General features: G+C 47.6%; 2 protein-coding genes across 24 annotated transcripts in view, besides 6 other annotated features; both read right to left on the bottom strand.

Moving 5' to 3' along the window:
* Positions 10 to 603: an enhancer, noted in NCBI's record as "H3K27ac hESC enhancer chr12:56439805-56440398 (GRCh37/hg19 assembly coordinates)". NCBI's record gives its function as "activates a minimal SCP1, AML or CMV promoter by ChIP-STARR-seq in primed H9 embryonic stem cells {active_cell/tissue: H9 hESC(primed)}" and the evidence as "EXISTENCE:reporter gene assay evidence [ECO:0000049][PMID:30033119]".
* RPS26 (ribosomal protein S26) lies at positions 1,927 to 4,706 on the bottom strand. Its single transcript, NM_001029.5, has 4 exons — positions 4,455 to 4,706; positions 4,022 to 4,199; positions 3,131 to 3,261; positions 1,927 to 2,505 (listed from the first exon to the last, which is right to left on the bottom strand). Exons 1-4 carry the CDS (start codon positions 4,455 to 4,457, stop codon positions 2,470 to 2,472), a joined length of 348 nt encoding a protein of 115 aa, NP_001020.2. The 5' UTR covers positions 4,458 to 4,706; the 3' UTR covers positions 1,927 to 2,469.
* Positions 4,018 to 4,277: an enhancer, noted in NCBI's record as "active region_6467". NCBI's record gives its function as "activates an Ori minimal core promoter by ATAC-STARR-seq in GM12878 lymphoblastoid cells {active_cell/tissue: GM12878}" and the evidence as "EXISTENCE:reporter gene assay evidence [ECO:0000049][PMID:35858748]".
* Positions 4,018 to 4,985: a biological region, named in NCBI's record as "NANOG-H3K27ac-H3K4me1 hESC enhancer GRCh37_chr12:56435423-56436212".
* Positions 4,196 to 4,985: an enhancer, noted in NCBI's record as "NANOG-H3K27ac-H3K4me1 hESC enhancer chr12:56435423-56436212 (GRCh37/hg19 assembly coordinates)". NCBI's record gives its function as "activates a minimal SCP1, AML or CMV promoter by ChIP-STARR-seq in primed H9 embryonic stem cells {active_cell/tissue: H9 hESC(primed)}" and the evidence as "EXISTENCE:reporter gene assay evidence [ECO:0000049][PMID:30033119]".
* Positions 4,418 to 4,747: an enhancer, noted in NCBI's record as "active region_6466". NCBI's record gives its function as "activates an Ori minimal core promoter by ATAC-STARR-seq in GM12878 lymphoblastoid cells {active_cell/tissue: GM12878}" and the evidence as "EXISTENCE:reporter gene assay evidence [ECO:0000049][PMID:35858748]".
* Positions 4,898 to 4,957: a silencer, noted in NCBI's record as "silent region_4543". NCBI's record gives its function as "represses an Ori minimal core promoter by ATAC-STARR-seq in GM12878 lymphoblastoid cells {active_cell/tissue: GM12878}" and the evidence as "EXISTENCE:reporter gene assay evidence [ECO:0000049][PMID:35858748]".
* The window catches only part of IKZF4 (IKAROS family zinc finger 4), a 30,932-nt gene continuing 19,061 nt past the window's right edge, over positions 8,189 to 20,059 (bottom strand). For all 23 annotated transcript variants that reach the window (XM_047429349.1, XM_017019806.2, NM_001351089.2 and 20 more), the window contains 5 exons: positions 19,583 to 19,843; positions 18,677 to 18,844; positions 13,914 to 14,063; positions 13,303 to 13,434; positions 8,189 to 12,053 (listed from right to left, as the gene is read on the bottom strand). In XM_047429349.1, the coding sequence (XP_047285305.1) occupies positions 11,293 to 12,053; positions 13,303 to 13,434; positions 13,914 to 14,063; positions 18,677 to 18,844; positions 19,583 to 19,843 (1,472 nt within the window). In that variant the 3' untranslated portion in view covers positions 8,189 to 11,292. The remainder of the gene's footprint in view (positions 12,054 to 13,302; positions 13,435 to 13,913; positions 14,064 to 18,676; positions 18,845 to 19,582; positions 19,844 to 20,059) is intronic.

Genomic DNA, 20,059 nt, shown 5'->3' with positions numbered 1-20,059 from the left:
GGTTAGGAAAATAGCCTTGGGAGGCAGCTGTGAAGTCAGGGTCCCTGGGCCTGTAGATAGTGAGTTGGGACTCCAAGTCACACTGCACACTTGGCTTGTGAGCATGATGTTCACCATGGCTCAGTTGCACCTATTCGTGCAGTCACCACCAGAAGCCCAAGCCTCCAGCTCATTCCACGTCTCTCAGATTCTGGTTCTCATGCAGTCCTTTCTGACCCCATTTGCACTCTTCCCCATCTCCTGAAACCCTTTCACAGCTTTCTGGAACCCAGGATTCATCATCAATAAAATCCTCCAAATGCAACATTCCCTTCACCATCTGCTCTGCAGTATAGTCCACAGACCAGTTGCATCACAATCACTTGGGACACTATTAAAATGCAGATTCCTGGCCAGGCGCGGTGGCTCACGCCTATAATCCCAGCACTTTGGGAGGCTGAGGTGGGCTGATCCCTTGAGATCAGGAGTTCAAGACCAGCCTGGCCAACATGGTGAAACCCTATCTCTACTAAAAATACAAAAATTAGCCGGGCATGGTGGCGGGCACCTGTAATCCCAGCTACTGGTAGGCTGAGGCAGGATAATCACTTGAACCCGGGAGGCGGAGGTTGCAGTGAGCCGAGATCGGGCTACCGCACTCCAGCCTGGGTAAGAGAGAGAGACTCCATCTCAAAAACAACAAAGTTTGGGATTATTAAGACGAAAAACTAAGTCAATTCTTACCAGCTAGGTTCTTGAAAGTAGAATCTATGGAGACAATCAAACAACATACTCTGCGCTTAGAATGCAGAGTATGTTGTGAGTTTGTAAACCCACAGAAGAGGTAGTAGTTAGGACCCACGTGACAGGCTGTGACTCTAGACACTTCAAGAGGAATCTTGGATCAGCTCTGTAAGTACACCCACAATCACGATTTACTATTTGAATCTGGTTCTGTTGAGCAAGCTGGACTTTGGGATCACTCAGATTCAGTACCCATTTTTGCCTTGGACCTCTTAATTTTCTTCTATCACTTCCTGTTTACCCTTGGTGTGATCAGGTTGCAAGGGGCACTGATGTCTTGAGACTCCCTGAAGGATATAGATTATCGCCTACATTCAGTGCTCTTACACACTCCGGGTTTGCCACAGATATTCCAGTACAAACACTGGTGTACTGACAGTCAAGTCAGGTCAGCAGTTCTTGTCTCAGATTTCTGTTGGGGAGTGCATTCCAATTAACAGAACCTCCACATTCTAAAATCTCTACCCGTTCCTTAGGCTGGGTGCAGTGGCTCACACCTATAATCCCAGCACTTTGGGAGGCCGAGGCAGGTGGATCATTTGAGGTCAGGAGTTTGAGACCAGCCTGGCCAACATGGTGAAACCCCATCTCTACCAAAAAAATAAACTAGCTGGTGCATGCTTGTAATCCCAGCTATTTGGGAGGTTGAGGCAGAACTGCTTGAAAGGGGGCAGGGGTGCAGGTGACTCCCAAGTGTCTAAAATCTCCAAGCTATACAGGTGTTACCTTTCACTGGCGAAGTCAGTAACAATTTACTCCCAAATAGATTTTTTTTTTCCTGAATTCTAGGACAAATTAAACTATTGTCATACAGACAAAAATAAGGTAGAGCCTTTCTCTACCTTATATTTCCGGGATGTCTCGTTTCTAGAAATGCCTTTAGTGTCTTTTCCAAGGTAGGAAGATGAGCATCTGAACATTAATCCTTTTATGCTCTGAAGCTATCCAAGTCATACATCCACTATTCAAGTTCCCCCTCCAGGGGTATAAACACCTCAGTTTAGGTCACTTCCCAATGTGCTCCTCACTCAACTAATAGCTTTTCCTCATTCTCCTAATGTTTACCCATTTTTAGGATGCCAACTTAAACTTGATGTGGTTAAATCCAAAATTCAGATGCCTAATCTCCATTTCACACAGCTATGCGAATTGTGAGGCCAACCATACGACCACAATTAAAGTTTAATTTACATAAATAGCTAGGCGAGGTGGCTCAAGCCTGTAATCCCAGCACTTTGGGAGGCCAAGGCTGGTGGATTAACTGAGGTCAGAAGTTCAAGACCAGCCTGGACAACATAGTGAAACCCCATCTCTACCAAAAATACAAAAATTAACCAGGCATGGTGGCAGACACCTGTAATCCCAGCTACTCAAGAAGCTGAGGCAGGAGAATCACTTGAACCCGGGAGACGGAGGTTGCAGTGAGCTGAGATCACGCCACTGCAATTCAGCTTGGGCGACAAAGACTCCGTCTCAAAAAAAAAAAAAAAAAAAAGAAAAAAATTAAATTACATGAATAAGCTTTCTTCCCCATGAAAATAATGTGTGTCACTTCACACTTGGTCTAACACACAAAATCCCCACCTTATCTGGCACAGATACACTTAACATGCAATATTAAGTACAATTTCCATTTTATTTTTCTCCAGAGAATAGCCTGTCTTCAGTCTTTAAGAACTCAGCTCCTTACATGGGCTTTGGTGGGGGACGTGGGGCAGCACCCTGAAAGACAAAGAAACAAAAGAGTAAATTAAAACCCATGGATCCAAGACTCCCTTCCCCCAAAGAACTTGACCACCATCCTCTCACAAACTGATGTATTCAGGCTACAAATGCATGGGAAGCTGATAGAGGTGGAGGGAGAACACTACTCTGCATCCTAAAAACCAATTCTGATTCTAACACTGCTTTGCAGTGTCTCTAAGCATGTTCAGGTGTGGGTCTCACCTGCCTTACAGCTTAACCTGAGGCACAGACCTTAATTTGATACCCCCTGCACCACAGGAGGAAGCAACTTTTTTTTTTTTTTAAGAGACAAGGTCTCACTTTTGCCCTGGCTGGAGCGCAAGTGGTATAATCATAGCTCACTGCAACCTCAAACTCCTGGGCTCAAGTGATCCTCCTGCCTCAGCCTCTCGAGCAGCCAGACTATAGGTTCACACTATCATGCTTGGCTTCCTTCTCAATATTTTTTGAAGAGATGGGGTCTTGAACTGCTGGTTTCTAGCAATCTTCTTGTCCCAGCCTCCCAAAGTGTTGAGGTTACAGGTATAGGACACCCTGACCCTCCAGGATGAAATTTTAACCATCACTCCCCTGGCTTCCATTCTCCTTTTAAAATACTCACCGCAGGTCTAAATCGGGGTGGGGGTGTTCGGTCCTTGCGGGCTTCACGAGATCGATTCCTGACTACTTTGCTGTGAATTGCACAACTCACACAGTAATGTAGCTTCACATACAGCTTGGGAAGCACATAGGCTAAGGAATAGAAAATAGAGTTATACTGGTATTATATACCTACCTTGCTTTTTTGTTACATGAATGAAGAGCACCTTACATGTTTACGTCAATTAAAACTAAACCTATTTAAATGCCTGTCGGGCACATAAAAGCACCCCCAAAGCACCTGTTCAGCCCAATACCTGAGCACATATGTATAACCCTCAGTTTTACAAGTGAATTAACATCCCACGTGAGTTCATCTTGACACCGCAAGGACCAGACTGACATTCTAAATGCAATAAACCAATAATCCAGTTCCTTCTACACCTACACCCGCCCTAATGCCTACCCTGAACCTTGCTCTTTCTATAAAAGGAAAAAAACAAAGCGACGTTCTTATTGCTCCAAACATCATCCTTGCACACCAAACTAGACGGCCTCCATTCTCGAAACGTTGAAGACATTCTTCCTCACCTGTATATTTTCACAAATATTCAAATAATCAATAGCACAAGAATTGTCAAATTTACCAAGTTTCTAGTTTTTGCAATCTCATAACCGAAACAGGCAAACCTTTACCTCAGAGTAAAGGCTGTGCACTCTATCACAAAGTCACCCTCTGCCCAGAAAAGAATCAAAACGGCAAACAAGAGAATTCTCTTCTACCAGTAACAACCTTAAATACGTGGAAATTGCCTGAGAGGCTCCAAAGAACAGAGCCTCCAAAAGGGCGAAGTTGGGCGAAGGCTTTAAGATACTGGGATCCTCACACAGTTCGCGCCGGTGACCCACTTACCATCGAAGACGCTCGCTTCAGAAATGTCCCTGACTGCTGCGGCCTCCACTATGTTTCGAATGACGAATTTCTTAATGGCCTTGTCCTTGGGCACGCATCGGGCACAGTTAGTGCAGCGAATAGGCTGCACGTGGCCGCGGCCCTTTTTGGCACGACCATTGTTCCTTCTTTTCTTTGTCTGCGACAGGATGGGAAAACTGTTAGGAAAACGGCGCAACTCACCCAGCCTCAGTCCCTTTCCGGCCACAAGCCGCACCGGCAGCCTCCAGGAAGGCGCCGCTCGGATCTCCTGTTTCTCCGCAAATCCCGCCGACCCCCAGAGCAAATGAAATGTACACTCGGTCCACCCCTCAGCCGTGCTCCAGGCTCTCACTTCCCCACAATCCCAGAGTCTGCACCCGAACCCCCACCCTCACCACGCAAGAAGACTCACCATCTTGGAGGCACGGACCGGAGAGAGGAGACGGTGCCTGGCAGGGCCCTCCTATATAGCATGAGATCCCTACGCGGACACCGGGAGAATCCTTAGGAGACGGGCTTCAAGAACGGCAACTCACTTTACTCAAATATTCCTTTACATTCAGCATTTCTGCTGAAATCTAGGGTGGAAATGCGTTCCTAGTGTTTATTTATCCATGGAACAAAGTGCACATGGGACTATTTAGCCGGATGGCGGAAGAAAATCGAGGTTATGTGTCTCCCAGCAAGCCTTGCGCCGCGCCGACTCGGAAGCAATTCTGGACGATGCAGTTTTCCGGTATACGCGACGCTAGGCGTGAAAGTTGCCAGACGCTGGACCACAAGGCGCACTCGTTATTAGAGGCCAGAGAGGGACAGATGCTTGGTGGGAATTGTAGTGCGAAGCCAAGAGGCTCCCCCCTCCCCCCCTTCCCCCCTGCCCCAAGTGCTTAGACCGAAGGCGGCGCTGCGCCACCGGGGGACGCCCTGGGCTCATTTCTCTGACAGTCCTTCTACTAGGTAGGTGTAGGATTACGAAGAGGAAGGCCTGAGAGGAAACAAGCATTTTGTGAATCCCTCCTTCCAATATGGAGAAAATCCCACAATGAAGTGCATTGAGGCTGGGGCTATTTCTCATTCATCTTTTTATCTCTGGCACAGTGCCTGGCCCTGTGGTAAGCGTCTTTATAAATATTAACTCATTTAACTTTGAGCAAGCCTATAGGTAGCTACTATTATTATCCTCACTTTAAAGATTGAAGAATTTAGCCCGGCCTGGTGGTGGGCGCCTGTAATCCCAGGTACTCAGGAGGCTAAGACAGGAGAATCTTGAACCTGGGAGGCGGAGTTTCCAGTGAGCCGAGATCGCGCCACTGCACTCTAGCCTGGGTAAAAAGATCGAAACTCTGTCTCAAAAATAAATAAATCAATTAAAAAAAAAGATTGAAGAACTGACGTGCAGTAGGTATTCTGGCTCCGCTGTACTATGCTGTATGTCACCTAACAAATGGATGGAGGAATAGCCTGGACTAATGACTTAAACGTTTTTCACCCAGATTCATAGCACGAATACATTTTACATTGGTACCCAGTACACACACAAACACGATTACATGCACATGCAAAACTGAAACACAAGCTTTATGAAACGATACTTACCCTTGTCATAGGTGTGCTGGTATGTTCTATTCTTTATTTTTACTTAATCTTTCTGTTCTCTATTTTAATAAATGCTGATCAAAAACCACGAAAATTATTTCACCACTCATTAGTGAATCTGACCCCTAATTGAAAGATTATGTGTAAGCTCCATTTACCTCTGAAGAGCCATCGGAAAGACTTAAGCCTTAGGCTGGGTGCAGTGGCTCACGCCTGTAATCCCAACACTTTGGGAGGCCAAGGCAGGCGGATCACCTGAGGTCAGGAGTTCAAGACCAGCCTAGTCAACATAGTGACACCCCACCTCTACTAAAAATATAAAAATTAGGCCTGGTGGCGCACACCTGTAATCCCAGCTACTCGGGAGACTGAGACAGGAGAATTGCTTGCACCCGGGAGGCAGAAGTTGCAGTGAGCTGAGATTGGGCTACTGTGCTACAGTCTGGGCAATAGAGCGAAACTCTGTCTCAAAAAAAAAAAAAAAAAAAGCAAGCAAGCTTCAGCCTGGCAGGAATGGCTGTCCACAGCCAACCACCCAGTTGTCTCCAAAGTTGAAGACACTAGGGTGGCAAGGGGACCTCCTAGCATTCAGACCCAGGATGGTACAGATGGAAACCATTGTTCATTTATGACTCACTCTAGAGTTTGAACACACCAGATTCACCTTCCCTCCAGCAACCCATCATGGTTTCTTTTAACCTTTAACCCACTTCTTGGGGCTAAAATCTGTTTTCTTACTTTCTTTTTTCTTTTCCTTTCTTTTTTTATTTTTATTTTTGAGACAGACTCTTGCTCTGTCACCCAGGCTGGAGTGCAGTGGTGCCATCTCAGCTCACAGCAACCTCTGCCTCCCGGGTTCAAGCGATTCTTCTGCCTCAGCCTCCCGAGTAGGTGGGACTACAGGTGGGCGCCACCATGCCCAGCTAATTTTTGTATTTTTAGTAGAGACAGGGTTTCACCATGTTGGCTGGGACAGTCCCGATCTCTTGACCTCGTGATCCATCCACCTCAGCCTCCCAAAGTGCTGGGATTATAGGTGTGAGCCACTGCACCCGGCCCCAGCTAATTTTTGTATTTTTAGTAGAGATAGGGTTTCGCCATGTTGCCCAGGCTGGTCTCGAACTCCTGAGCTCAGGATATCCACCCGACTCGGCCTCCCAAAGTGCTAGGATTACAGGCGTGAGCCACTGTGCCCAGACTTTTTTTTTTTTTTTTCAGATGGAGTCTTGCTCTGTTGCCTAGGCTGGAGTGCAGTGGTGCGATCTTGGCTCACTGCAACCTCCGCCTCCTGGGTTCAAGCGATTCTTCTGCCTCAGCCTCCCAAGTAGCTGGCACTACAGGCACGTACCACCATGCCCGGCTAATTTTTTGTATTTTAGTAGAGACGGAGTTTCACCATGTTGGCCACATGGTCTTGATCTCCTGACCTCGTGATCCGCCTGCCTCAGCCTCCCAGAGTGCCAGGATTACAGGCATGAGCCACTGTGCCCAGCGCTTTTTTTTCTTTTTTAAGATGGGTCTGGAGGCTGCAGTGGCATGATCACAGTTCAGTGCAGGCTTGACCTCCTGGGCTCAAGTGATCCTGCCGTCTCAGCTTTCCGAGTAGCTGGGACTACAGGCATGCACCACCATGCCTAGCTAATTTTAAAATTTCTTGTAGAGATGGTGTTGCCCTGTGTTGCTGAGGCTGTTCTCAAACTCCTAGGCTCAAGTGATCCTCCCAAGTAGCTGGGAGGACAGGTGTCCTCCACCACTTCCAGCTTTCCTGTCTGTTTTGACTTTGAATTTGCCAGTTTCAGTGGGACATGGAAAATAATAGACTCTAGATAGGAGTGTCTCTAATTTTCACTTCACTGTAATCTTGTGGAAAACAGAAGGCAGACATTACTATATGGAATAGCAATGAGGTAGATGGAAGAGAACATAAAAAAGTTCAGAGTGAAGAGAACAGAAAATAGTTACTATTTAAGACAGAAACAAATTTATGTTCCTACTTTGGATTTTTCTAGCTTAGGGGTTTCACTGGCTGCATTCCCTGGCATAAAGCGATGAGCACATGCTTTGGATCACACACCCCTGGGTTCAAATTCTGGTTCTGTCACTTACTGGCTGATGAGCCTTGGATAAGGTATTTATTCTCTCTTGGGCTTTTATTTTTTTACCAATAATTGTGATCATCCTTTTGTAGGTGTTTCTACAATTCAATGAGTACTTAGCATTTATGAGATGCTCAAGCAGTGGTAGACCCTATGATTGTCATCATTCGCATTATTTCACCCTGGGCATAGAATGTGTTTTGTGCACAGTAGGTACTCAACAAATGTTTGATTAATTTCTACTTTGGGTAGACAGGCAAGTCAGACTTTCTCTCCTATCCTGAAGGCACTCCTTCCTGGTAGGAAAATCTCCTCCATTTCCCAGTCTAGGCTGAAAATTCTTCGTTTTTGTTTACCTCCTAAACTGTTCAGTAGTTGGTATAACATACTGCAAGGAGGACCCCTCCCTCTTAGTAGAAAAGCAAGGCAAAGGAAGTCTGCAAAAACAACCAGAGGTGTTAAATTACTCATGTTTATTTATAACAGACTTTCAGCCAGTACAGTACAAAACTTACAGTAGTATATCTCCGTTACACAAATATTTACTTACAATATATTACATATACAAAATGCTTTGCAATAAGTCTCAAAAGCTAGTTTAACTCCCCTTGAGAAAGGAGAAAAACTCTTTAAAAAAGGGGGGGAGGGGAATCAGAAGAAGAGAGGAGGAGGTGAAGGGGTAAAGGTCAAAAGAGACACCAAACATAGGCTACAAAGGAAACCCTAGGAGAGAGGGAGAAGAGAGGTGGTATTGCACTTGCTTCTGTGTTTATTTTTTCTTTTTGTTCTTCATAACTTCTGATTAAAAATATATATATATATGTATATATATATATTATGTACACAAGGAAAGAAGCTGCCAGAAGTATTACAAAATCCTATCTGCAGCTTGGACACTGACACAAAAAAACAAAGGTCTGGAAAAGTGTCTACTTAGAAATATTTTGTTGGTGGTATTGATTTTGAATAGCAATATAAAAGGAAACACCTCTTTTCTCCATGTGGGTTTCAGTGTGTGTGTATTTTTTTTTCTTTTTCTTTACTTTTTTTTTTATGCAAAAGGAGCTGGGAGAGAGCATGAGGATGTTTGAGGTTCCAGAGCTGGAAGGCTCTGAAAAGTAGGATTTTGTACCTAAGACCCTGGTTAAAGTGCAGTGATGGTCTGGAGAGAGACAGGATGCCCCCTCTCCCCTCCTTAGCACCTGGTCTTGCCCTTCCAGTCTCTGCTCTCATGGGCACAGAGTATAGCCTCAGAGCATAGTCCTTCATGTTCCGGGAGGTTACAGGTGCCACAGTTGACTGGGGAAGGGGATGGGGGCACCCTAAGGCTCTGATACCCCAGAAGGGACTAGTCCTTATGAAGTGTCACCAAATACACAGCAGACACAGAAGAGGTGGGAGGCGGTAGGTCTAACAGGAAGGGCTCAATAACCAGAATAGTTCAGGAAAAGCCCAGATATTAATCTCAGCTCTGCTGACATTCTAAAAAGGAGCTAGCACCCCAGGGTGCCGTTGAGGATTCTTCCTTTCTCTAGAGACTACTCTGCTCTGAGCTAACCTCCCCATTTTCTGCCCTTGGCAGCATCTATTTATTGCTACATTGTCAAGGAGGAACAATTGCCCCACAATGCTTCTCCCTGCCAATCTGGTTCTCTTGGGGAAACCTCAGAGTGGGGGAGAAAAAGGAGGACAAAGAGGAGAAAGTTTTTTAGGGTCTCCCTTCCCATAAGAAGGCAAGGTAGACTCCTCTCAGAGCCCTTAAGGCCCTAATCCCAGGGTCTGTTCCTTAGCCCACCCTTTACCATCCCCCCCCAAAATATCCCTGATAGGGAGTGAGAAAAGTAGGAGGTAAAAGAGCCAATAAGGAAAGGACATGTGGAAAGAAAGATGGAAGGGGAAGGAAGGGAAGAGAAAAGGAGAGAGAGAAGGACCAAGAGTTACAACTTGTGAGGTGTTGTGTTTGGTTTTTACTTTTTTTTTTCTTTAAACATAGAAAAACAGCCTTTGGTTTGAATCTCAAGGAAGCAGAGAGTGGGATGGCTGTGGCCTTGGGCAGAAAACTCTTGTAGAAAGAAACCTCCACTTGCAGTGGAGTTGTATCTCCTTCTGCCCCTTCTCACTAATCCTAGGTTACTCAAATAGCCAAGGGTCTCTGCAGTAGCCAGCAGTCCCCCCTCCTACCCTGTGTCTGGGAGCTGAGTGTAGAAGGGGGTAGTAAAGGAAGACCCCAGTTCAGTTGTACCCATCCCAGTCTTGCTGGAACAAGGGTGGAATGGGGTGAAGGGCACGTGCCCGTGCTCATGCTGGGATAATTTTTGGTTATACTGAAAATTAGAAGAGAGAAAAGAGATACCCGTTTCTCCCTGCCACTGATCCTAAGAACAGGGCCCAGGAGCCCGGGAATGAGAGGGTGAATCCTGCTGGGAGGGAGCAGCAGAAGGCAGCATGACTGAGGGGCTGAAACAACCCCTTGTCATCAGGCAGCAACCCACTAGTTTCTCATAGGATGGGGACTGAAGGAGCCCCTGAGAGCCTAGGAAGGTCACTATAGTGAAGAAGTTTGAGAGGTGGAGGAGAAAGAGAAGAATTTTGACCCACTCCTTTCCCATGCCCTGGTTCCCAATTAGGCACCTGTGGCTCCCAATCTGTCAGAGACAGAGGGTTGCAGACCTAGCCTTGGCCCCTGAGAATATAAAATTGGGGCACTCCAAGGAGAGAAAAGCCACCACTTAATAGACCGGTAGGTTGAAGGGACTAGAGCGTGTGGAGGGGTAGTTCAAGGAGAGGGACCAGATCTATCACATCCTAGAGGGAGATCCTGAATGTAGGCTTTGAGAACTCATATTACTAGGGGAATATGACCTATTACTAGGGGAATAGGACTCTCAGTCCCACAGTGCCTGGGGAGAATTTCTTCAGTCCCTCCTACTTCCAAATGAGGAAATAATTCTTCATTCATTCAAGAATAGTGCAAGCTGCCTAAAGTGAGAGGGCACAAGAGGTATGGAGTACCAGGTTGAAGAGTCCCAGAGAGGAGATATAATGCCACAGAGCTAAGGTAGGGCCGGGGGCAGGTATCAGCATCAAAACTGAAGAATTAGATAATGTAAAGGGTGAGGACTTAAAGCAAGAAGCTTGAAGTCTCTTAGTACTAAGAGGAGCTTCCTACCCCTGGGGCTGCTGGAAGATCTAAGAGAGAAAAATTGGCCTAAAGTGGAAAGGAGTTGTGGACAGGAGGGTGGGGGAGTGGCAAGTGACTGATATAAGTTAAAATTTAAAAAGGCAAAAATAAATCAACTAATTAATAAATAACTCAGTATGCTGGGATGAGAGAAGATAAAAAGGAAAAACATAAGCAAAAGATCTGTTTCATCACAATGCTTACATCGGTCAGGATAGAGGAAGAGAATAGGTGAGGAGGGGTCAGGGTCAGGTGTGAGGTCAGGTGGCCAGTAGTGAGGGCTACAAAGCAAAACTCCTTGGGAAATGGTGGGGACAGGGATCAATGCCTGTAGTCAGGGCAGTGGAGTGGTGGACTGAGGAGAGAGGGAGAGGTTGCTAGCCCACCTTATGCTCCCCCCGGACAATGTGGGAAGAGAATTCGTACCGGTCCTGGCTGTGATAACCACAGATGTTGCACTCAAAAGGGTCTCTGAAGCCATGGCAGCCCATGTGGATAGTGAACATGACGTGGTCCAGGAAGAGGATACGGCAGTGCTCACACTTGAAGGCCTTCACAGGCTCACCACTCTCGCCCACCACCCGAAGCACTTCCTTGGAGGGGCCTGGGGTGCCCCGCAATAACCCCTCCTGTGGCTTGGGGTCCTCTTTGGCGTAGGCAGGACTGTGCCGGCCCACCACAATGGTGGGAGGTGGCTGGGGTGGGGGACCCTGAGGGAGGGATACCACCCCCGCAACCCGATCTTCGTGGTTGCTTTCTGTGTCTGTGGAGTCCTGGCAGCCATTGCTGGGGGATGCCCCAGGGTCAGTCAGGGGGCCTCGGGGCCGGTAGAGGAGGGGACCTCCATCAGCCAGGTCCTCAGGTCCCTCACCTGCTTCTCGGGATCCTGGAAGCTCCAGTCGACCAGGGAGGGGCTGCATCTGGGTGTAGACAGAGCTGATGACAGGCGTGAGTTCTGAGATGCAATTGGTGGGTGGAAGGCGGAGGGGACGCAGATGCTCTGCACCCACAAAGGCCAGGGAACTTCCAAAGCCAGGCTCTAGGCTGTGGTGTGCCACCAACTCCACATCCTTTTCATAGCCACCCGAGTTCACATCATAGGGGAGGTCTGAGAGGCTGAAGCGCATCTGCTTTTCGCCTGTGGAGAACAGGAACTCAGCAGGGCTGGGTTTGGAGAATTCCTACACTCTCCTCAGGATTACTTCTTTGTTTTTTTACCTGTGGGGCTGGGTGTAACATTATTTACTACGTGGCATTTACTTTCGCAGGGTCAGGTCCTTTGTGGGACTGCTCCCTGACTCTAGGCTATAATCTTAGAGAAGGACTCAATCCCAGCCCATTGATTTTTAATACTTCATTTTATTACTCTCCATAAAGCTCCAGGTCCTTAGAGAGCTCATGACTAGTGCTGGGGATAGGGGGAACCACATACTTATTTCCTCTCTCTGACTCTCTAAGGGCCCACACAGACTGAAGTTCTTGTTATTCTTAAAAACTGAGATAGCCCGGGCCGGGCGCGGTGGCTCACGCCTGTAATCCCAGCACTTTGGGAGGCTGAGGCGGGCAGATCATGAGGTCAGGAGATTAAGACCATCCTGGCTAACACGGTGAAACCCCGTCTCTACTAAAAATACAAAAAAAATTAGCCGGGCATGGTGGCAGGCGTCTGTAGTCCCAGCTACTCGGGAGGCTGAGGCAGGAGAATGGCGTGAACCTGGGAGACAGAGGTTGCAGTGAGCCGAGATCGTGCCACTGCATTCTAGCCTGGGCGACAGAGCAAGACTCCGTCTCAAAAACAAACAAACAAACAAAAAACTGAGACAGCCCGATGCCTCGACCCTGTCCCTTACAACCACCACGAGAGTCTTCAGTGCCAACCCTTCTCCACTCTCTTTGAGTACATCCTCCCTCTTTACTTTCCTCCTGTCCTGAGGATAGATTTTCAGTATCAGAGGCCACCAGCCTGCTTTCTTTCTTTCCTTTTTTCTTTTTTCTTTTGAGACGGAGTCTTGCTCTGTTGCCCAGGATGGATGGAGTGCAGTGGCGCGATCTCCGCTCACTGCAAGCTCCGCCTCCCAGGTTCACACCATTCTCCTGCTTCAGCCTCCCGAGTAGCTGGGACTACAGGTGCCCGCCACCACGCCCGGCTAATTTTTTGTATTTTTAGTAGAGAGGGGGTTTCACTGTGTTAACCGGGATGGTCTTGATCTTCTGACCTCTTGATCTGCCCACCTTGGCCTCCCAAAGTGCTGGGATTACAGACGTGAGCCACTGCACCCAGCCCACCAGACTGCTTTCTTTCCCCAAACCGAATCTCCAGACCACACAGCTCAGATTTATTTGAGCTGTGGCTTAAAGCTGATACGTCTTTCCAACTGGATTCTTACCTACAAACTTCTGGGGTGTGGAACGCTTGCGTTTGGTGAGGCTATTGGCCAGACGATCGATGAAAGTTGGCCGCTCAGAGGATGAGTGCAGCATGGAGTCTGGCACCATCTCCAGGTCACGTATTTCGTCACCTAGTGGGAAGAAGGTGGAGACAGTAGTAGCAGTTGAGTAGGGGTAGCATTGGCCCCACAGCCTTTGCCTGGAGAAAACCAGCAGGTCAGTAGCCAAGGAAGGACATACCAGTTGCCTGGGAAACTGGGCTCTGTTTACCCTACCTAAAGCTCACTCCAATAAAATTTCAGATCATTTGGGGACAATCATACACATCTGGCCCTTGGTTTTATACTTCTTGTGTTCTCTCTCTCCCATTAGGCCAAGGATATAGACCCAAACTTCCCCTACCTGTCGATCTCCCTAAAGCACCCACCACAGACAAGGCTCTCCACCAACTGGGTTACCTAGAATGGGGTGTTTGGCAGATTTACTGGGGTAATCATCCCCTGTTCCACAGACTTCATCCCTCAGTGTGGGAGATACTGGAGTCACCCTTGTCTAGCACTCCCTCTCACCATCCCCTTTTAACTCCCCAGTAGTACATCAATAGCCCTACCTGGTTGGCCAGCCAAAGCTTGGGCTTCAGTGCTGAGACTCTGTAGGTAGTTATGGCACCGCTCCTTGTGCTCCTCCAGGGTACTCTGCTGTTTGTAGCTCCGGCCACAGTAGTTACACTTGTAGGGCTTGCCCACTGTGGGAGAGGAGACTGTGGAGGAGAGTGGAAAGATGGCATCAGAGCTATTTCTCGCTGTGCCCTGGCTCTGCAGATTCAGCCAAGAGCAAGTATACACTGGCATGGGAAGGAAAGGATGTTGCTAAATTGAGTTCTTCTACTTGTCTTTCATTTCCCAACTTCAACTGCAACCGCGGACAGATGAACAATATTTGATGATGAAGGATAATGTGCAGTTATGGGGGCAAGGGAATCCTAGGGCATGTGGCTTCAGACTGGTGGTGGGTTTGTTCAAGATGGCCAAATTGTTGCTTAAAGGAAGTGAGGACCCAGGGACTTTGTAGAGGATCATCCCTAGCAGACAGGCAGGCCCCACTGCAGGATCTCAGAGTCTGGGGCCCAGACTGTGGTTTAACCTTTCCATTTGGCAGGCGGATGTAAGTGCTGTTTATCAGACAAGGGGATTTTTTGCTTTTTATGAACTATCTGCTTTGGTTTGGGGGAAACTGGTGGGCTGGCATGACAGAAATGAGAGCCCTTAGATCTGCCAATGTGGGGAGGGGGCAGTTTTCATTGACCTTTACTTGTATTTTGACCTCCAGCCCTAGCCTGGTTTACTGATTATTTTGTCTCTCTGTCTCTCTACGCTGAGATACCAAGAGAGGTCTAGAAAGCCCATCACTGATAGAGTAATTCTGAAAAGAGAAAAAGAATAAAAGAACAGAGAAGAAAATAAAGAAGAGTAAAAAAAAGAGAACACCAAATTTGGGTTTGTTTGTTTATGTGCTTGTAATAAGGAACAGGTTATAAAGGTCTTGTTTCTACCGAAGAAAGAAAATTGGAAAACAGAGTGGTACTTCATTTAAAGATAACTCTTAAGAGATATTTGTGAGAGGAGAGAAAAAAGTGGAGAGAAACAACGTATTGTATATTTGATGTATCTTGCTGCTATTGAGCAGGGAGACAGGAGAAGGTATCTCTAGGAAGCTGGTAATTACTATTCACCCCTAACCTTGCCATGCCAAAGCTGGGCCTTGACTAAATCAATCTACTGGATTTTACTCAGGCTCTGTAAACTCTTGTATTTTAGGGATGAAATGAACACCATGGTCCCTATCCACCCAAAGACCCTTGGGGAAACAGTTTAACATCTGGGAGAGGAATGATCCTCCAACCGCTTTCTTTTTTTTCAAATTTTAATTGATAATTGATACATAATAATTATACATGTTTATGAGATACATATGATATTTTCATACATGTATACGACATGTAATGATCAAGTTGGGGTAACTGGCATATCTGTCACCTCAAACATTTATCTTTTTTTCTTCTTTTTTTTGGAGACAGAGTCTTACTCTGTTGCCTAGGCTGGAGTGCAGTGGCACGATCTCGGCTCACTGCAACCTCTACCTCCTGGGTTCAAGCGATTCTCCTGCCTCAGCCTCCCAGTAGCTGGGACTACAGGCGCCCACCACCATGCCCAGCTAATTTTTTGTATTTTTAGTAGAGACGGGTTTCACCATGTTAGCCAGGATGGTCTCAATCTCCTGACCTCATGATCTGTCTGCCTCAGCCTCCCAAAGGCTAGGATGACAGGCGTGAGCCACCATGCCCAGCAAACATTTATCATTTCTTTGTATTGGGAACATTCAAAATAATCTCTTCTAGCGATTTTGAAATATACAATAAATTATTGTTAACTACAGTCATTCTACTATGCTGTGGAACACTACAACTTATGCCTCCCATCTAACTGTAATCTTGTACCCATTAACCAGCCTCTCGCTATCCACCTACTCCCAACCCTTCTCAGTCAGCCTCTGGTAACCACTGTTCTACTCTCTACTTTTTTTTTTTTTTTGAGACGGAGTTTCACCCTTGTTGCCCAGGCTGGAGTGCAATGGCGCGATCTTGGCTTACTGCAACCTCTGCCTCCTGGGCTCAAGGAATTCTCCTGTCTCAGCCTCCCGAGTAGCAGGGATTACAGGCATGCGCCACCACGCCTGGCTAATTTTGTATTTTTAGTAGAAACAGGGTTTCTCCATGTTGGTCAGGCTGGTCTTGAACTCCTGACCTCAGGTGATCTGCCCGCCTTGGCCTCCCAAAGTGCTGGGATTACAGGCGTGAGCCACCGTGCCTGGCTTTTTTTTTTTTTTCCCCAAGATGGGGTCTCACTCTGTCACCCAGACTGGAGTGCAATGACATGATCACAGGACACTGAAGTCTTGACCTCCCAGGTTCAAGTGATCCTCCCTGTCTCAGCCTCCTGAGTAGCTGGGACTACAGGTGTGTGCCACCACACCTAGTTTTTGTTTTTGTTTTTGTTTTTGTTTTTGTAGTAGAGACGAAGTCTCACTATGTTGCTCTGGCTGGTCTCAAACTCCTGGGCTCAAGCGATCCACCCGCCTTGGCTTCCCAAACTGCTGGGATGATAGACGTGAGCCACTGCACCCAACCTACTCCGTGCTTCTATGAGATCAACTTTTTTAGCTCCCACATGAGTGAGAACATGCATCCAGTCTCTTTTTTCTTATAATAGGGGTTGCAACAGAAAGCACTTCACAGAGATGGGACCTGACAGTATATCTGTGTCTGCTTCTGTTGTTAATAATCTACAGATCAACATCCAAAATCTACCCAGTTCACCTCACTGTGTAGTTGGTAAGAATTCTAGGGGCCAAGCCATCCTTGTTCCAAACCAGCAGGGGGAGCAGCCCCTTTTCTGAGGAAAAGGAGTATGTATTTCTGGCACTGGACCTTGATGGGGTTCCAGCTAGGCTGAAGAATAGCTATGTGACCCGCAACTCATTTTTCCCCCCAACAGCTTCATTTTCCTTGTCAACAAAATGGGGATAATCACATCTACCTTGGAATTGTTATGAGGATCACATGGAGAAACACAAGTGAAATGCTCTGTAGATATAAAGCATGTATCAACGATGATCTTTCTCCCTGTTTCTCCACATACATAGAGATAAAGAGGTCCCAATTACAAGGTGGGAGAACCTGGAACAAGGTAAGTGGATGGAGAAAGTAGAGGGTGATGAAATGATTGCTCTGTCCCTTTAAATCCTGGCTCAGGAGAGTTTAAGAAGAGAAAAATAGCCAGGAAAGTTTCCAAGGACAGACCCTACTAATTCTTTCCCCCTTCCTTTCTTCCTGCCTTTTCCCAATCTTGAGCTCCCTCCTTCCTGCCAGCTCAGCTCCTGGCCTCTTCCCAAGTCCAAGCCAAAAGCCTAAAGCTTAGTAAAATGCCTAAAAAGTGCTATCTGTCCAGCTGATTCAGACAGATACTGATTCAAACAGTCTTGACTGGGCTAGAAAACCTTGTTAATCCAGTTTCCCAGCACTGTTCCAAACATTGATCTCTAGGTACCCTCTGGACTTTCTCTTGCCTCTGGGAAGGTGACAACCTCTTGGGATAGGGAACAGAAATAGGATACTCTTTTCCTATTTGGAAGTCCTAGGCTCCCTTTTTTGCAATTTGAGAGGGCTATGGATATTTCCAGGAGCCAGAAGGAAGTAAAGGAGAGGACAGACTGGTTGCTCAAGACCTCTGGTGGTGTGGGAGGAAGGAGGGTGAAGATGATGACAGGTGTGGGGCCTGAGGCAGATGGGAGTGAGAGGAGGGATTTCCCAGGGGCTTAGATGTTGGGGGTAATAGGGCATGGATTGTGGCATCAACAATCTAAAATATAAAAGTCAGGAAAGCCCAGGCACAGTGGCTGACACCACGCCTGTAATCCCAGTACTTCAGGAGGCTGAGGTGGGCCGATTGCTTGAGATCAAGAGTTCAAGACAAGCCTGGGCAGCATAGGGAGATCCTGTCTCTACAAAAAAATAGAAAAATTAGCTGGGTGTGGCAGTATCCTTCCAGCTACTCAGGAAGCTGAGGTGGGAGGATGGCTTGAGCTCAGGAGATCAAGACTGCAGGGAGCCAAAATTGCACCACTACACTCCAGCCTGGGCAACAGTGTGAGACACCGTCTTGAAAAAACAAAAAACAAACAAAAGTCAGGGAAGGGTGACTTTTTTTTTTTTTTTTTTTTTTTTTTTTTGAGACTGAGTGTCGCTCAGTCGCCCAGGCTAGAGTGCAATGGCGCGATCTCAGCTCACTGCAAGCTCCGCCTCCCGGGTTCACGCCATTCTCCAGCCTCAGCCTCCCAAGTAGCTGGGACTACAGGTGCCTGCCACCATGCCCGGCTAATTTTTTTTTTTTTTGTATTTTTAGTAGAGACAGGGTTTCACCATTTTGGCCAGGATGGTCTCGATCTCCTGACCTCGTGATCCGCCCATCTTGGCCTCCCAAAGTGCTGGGATTACAGGCGTGAGCCACCGCGCCAGGCCAAGGGTGACCGTTAACAGCCAAGAACATTGCTCCTATTCCTTTTGCTCCAAGTAGATGGATTTTACATCCATATGGTGGATGTAAAATACCCCATCAAGGTGTCTCCCAAATTTCCCATGAAGCCTTGCTGCCCAGAGGATGGGTGAGAGAGGCAGGGGGCCCTATCTGCTCTGTAAATGCTCCCCCCTCCTCAATGACAGACACTGGAACTCCCCAAATACAAGAGAAGTCACTGAGCTCTACATACTGGGTGTGTTGGAGCCTCATTCCCTCCTCCCACTGGACAGACACTGACCTGAGTGTGTGCGGAGGTGACCAGTGAGTGCATCACGCCGGCGGCAGGCATAGTTGCAGAAGGGACATTTAAAGGGCTTCTCCCCAGAGTGCAGCTTGATGTGGCGCAGCAGGTTCCCCTTCTGGGTGAAGGAGGCACCACACTGGTTGCAATGGAAGGGCCTTTCACCTGCAAGTGAAAGAACAAATCCCAGAGGACTGCATGTGAGGAACTTTGAAGGTTGAACCTATCACCCACCCTCTGCCCTACCTTGCCCAAGGGAAGGTGCTCTGAACACATTGCTGACGGGCAGAAGTGCAATGCACACAAACCCTGATTTATGAAGATCCCTTGGGGATCCCTGGGGTCTTACCCTGGGGAAGGTGTGGATTAGAGGTGTGTGGCAGGGAGAGGGGCCTGGAACACGAGGCCAAAAGACTGTTACCAAAAACTGAGCCCCACAGGGCCCACTCTGCCCTAGGAGCCCAAGGCCCAAGGAAGCTGAGAAGAGAAGGCTTTTGTTTTCTGTTTTGTTGTTGTTGTTGTTGTTGTTGTTTTTTAATTATTAGATGGGAGGGCCCAAAGAATACCCAGGAGTCTTACCCCTATTGGACCATTGGCTCATTCTTGAGTCTACACTTTCCCCTCCCTCATATACTGAGAAAAATATCACCTTTTCTTTATAACAGCGGTTGAGGAGAGTGCCAGGAAACTAAAGGTATTGAGGGGAATTCAAATTCTGTACCCACCCCCACCCTGCCTCGTTTTGTCAGCTGGAAAATGTGCTGGGTGAGACCCTTCCCTTTCTGAGGCTACCCACTCCCTGCATGACCTCCTCCAGCCCCATACCTGCTGTTGTCCCAGCACTGCCCCTGCCTCTCAACCCCACCCTGGGAGCTCCTCCCAGAGCCCCTCTGGCTTACTTACCAGTGTGACTGCGCTTGTGCACCATGAGCACGTTGGGTCCAATACAGACCATGCCGCAGACGTCACACTTGAGCTTGCCATTGGGCAGCCGGATGCCCCCAGGGGAGTGAGGCTCTGGCCCACTCCCATCACAGTAGCCCAGGGGCTCAGACAATGAATCTTCCACAATCACGCTGTCGTCCTTTTCCAGGAGCCGCTCATCTGGCCCCAGCAGTCTGCTTGACTCCTCATCGCTGTACATCTCCACCTTGATGGAGTTGGCTGAGGGGTGGGATGGTGTTTAGAATAGAGAGAGGCAAAGGGGGAAGCTGCTCCCAGGCCAGAATGGCACTCTTTTTTTTTTTTTTTTTTTGAGATGGAATTTCGCTCTTGTTGCCCAGGCTGGAGTGCAGTGGCACGAATTTGGCTCGACGCAACCTCCACCTCCCAGATTCAAGTGATTCTCCTGCCTCAGCCTCCTGAGTAGCTGGGATTACA

This window comes from Homo sapiens, chromosome 12 (genome assembly GCF_000001405.40).
Source record: "Homo sapiens chromosome 12, GRCh38.p14 Primary Assembly".
Classification (NCBI taxonomy): domain Eukaryota; kingdom Metazoa; phylum Chordata; class Mammalia; order Primates; family Hominidae; genus Homo; species Homo sapiens.
The sequence above is the reverse complement of the archived record's forward strand: the minus strand, read 5'-3'. Positions and strand labels throughout refer to the sequence as shown.

Bases quoted from the DNA above. Each gene is read 5' to 3' on its own strand.
- RPS26 (NM_001029.5), bottom strand. The intron at 3,262-4,021 runs GTAAGTGGGTCA...TCTATTCCTTAG, and splicing joins TGAAGCGAGCGTCTTCGATG to CCTATGTGCTTCCCAAGCTG. The intron at 2,506-3,130 runs GTGAGTATTTTA...TTTGTCTTTCAG, and splicing joins CACCCCGATTTAGACCTGCG to GGTGCTGCCCCACGTCCCCC.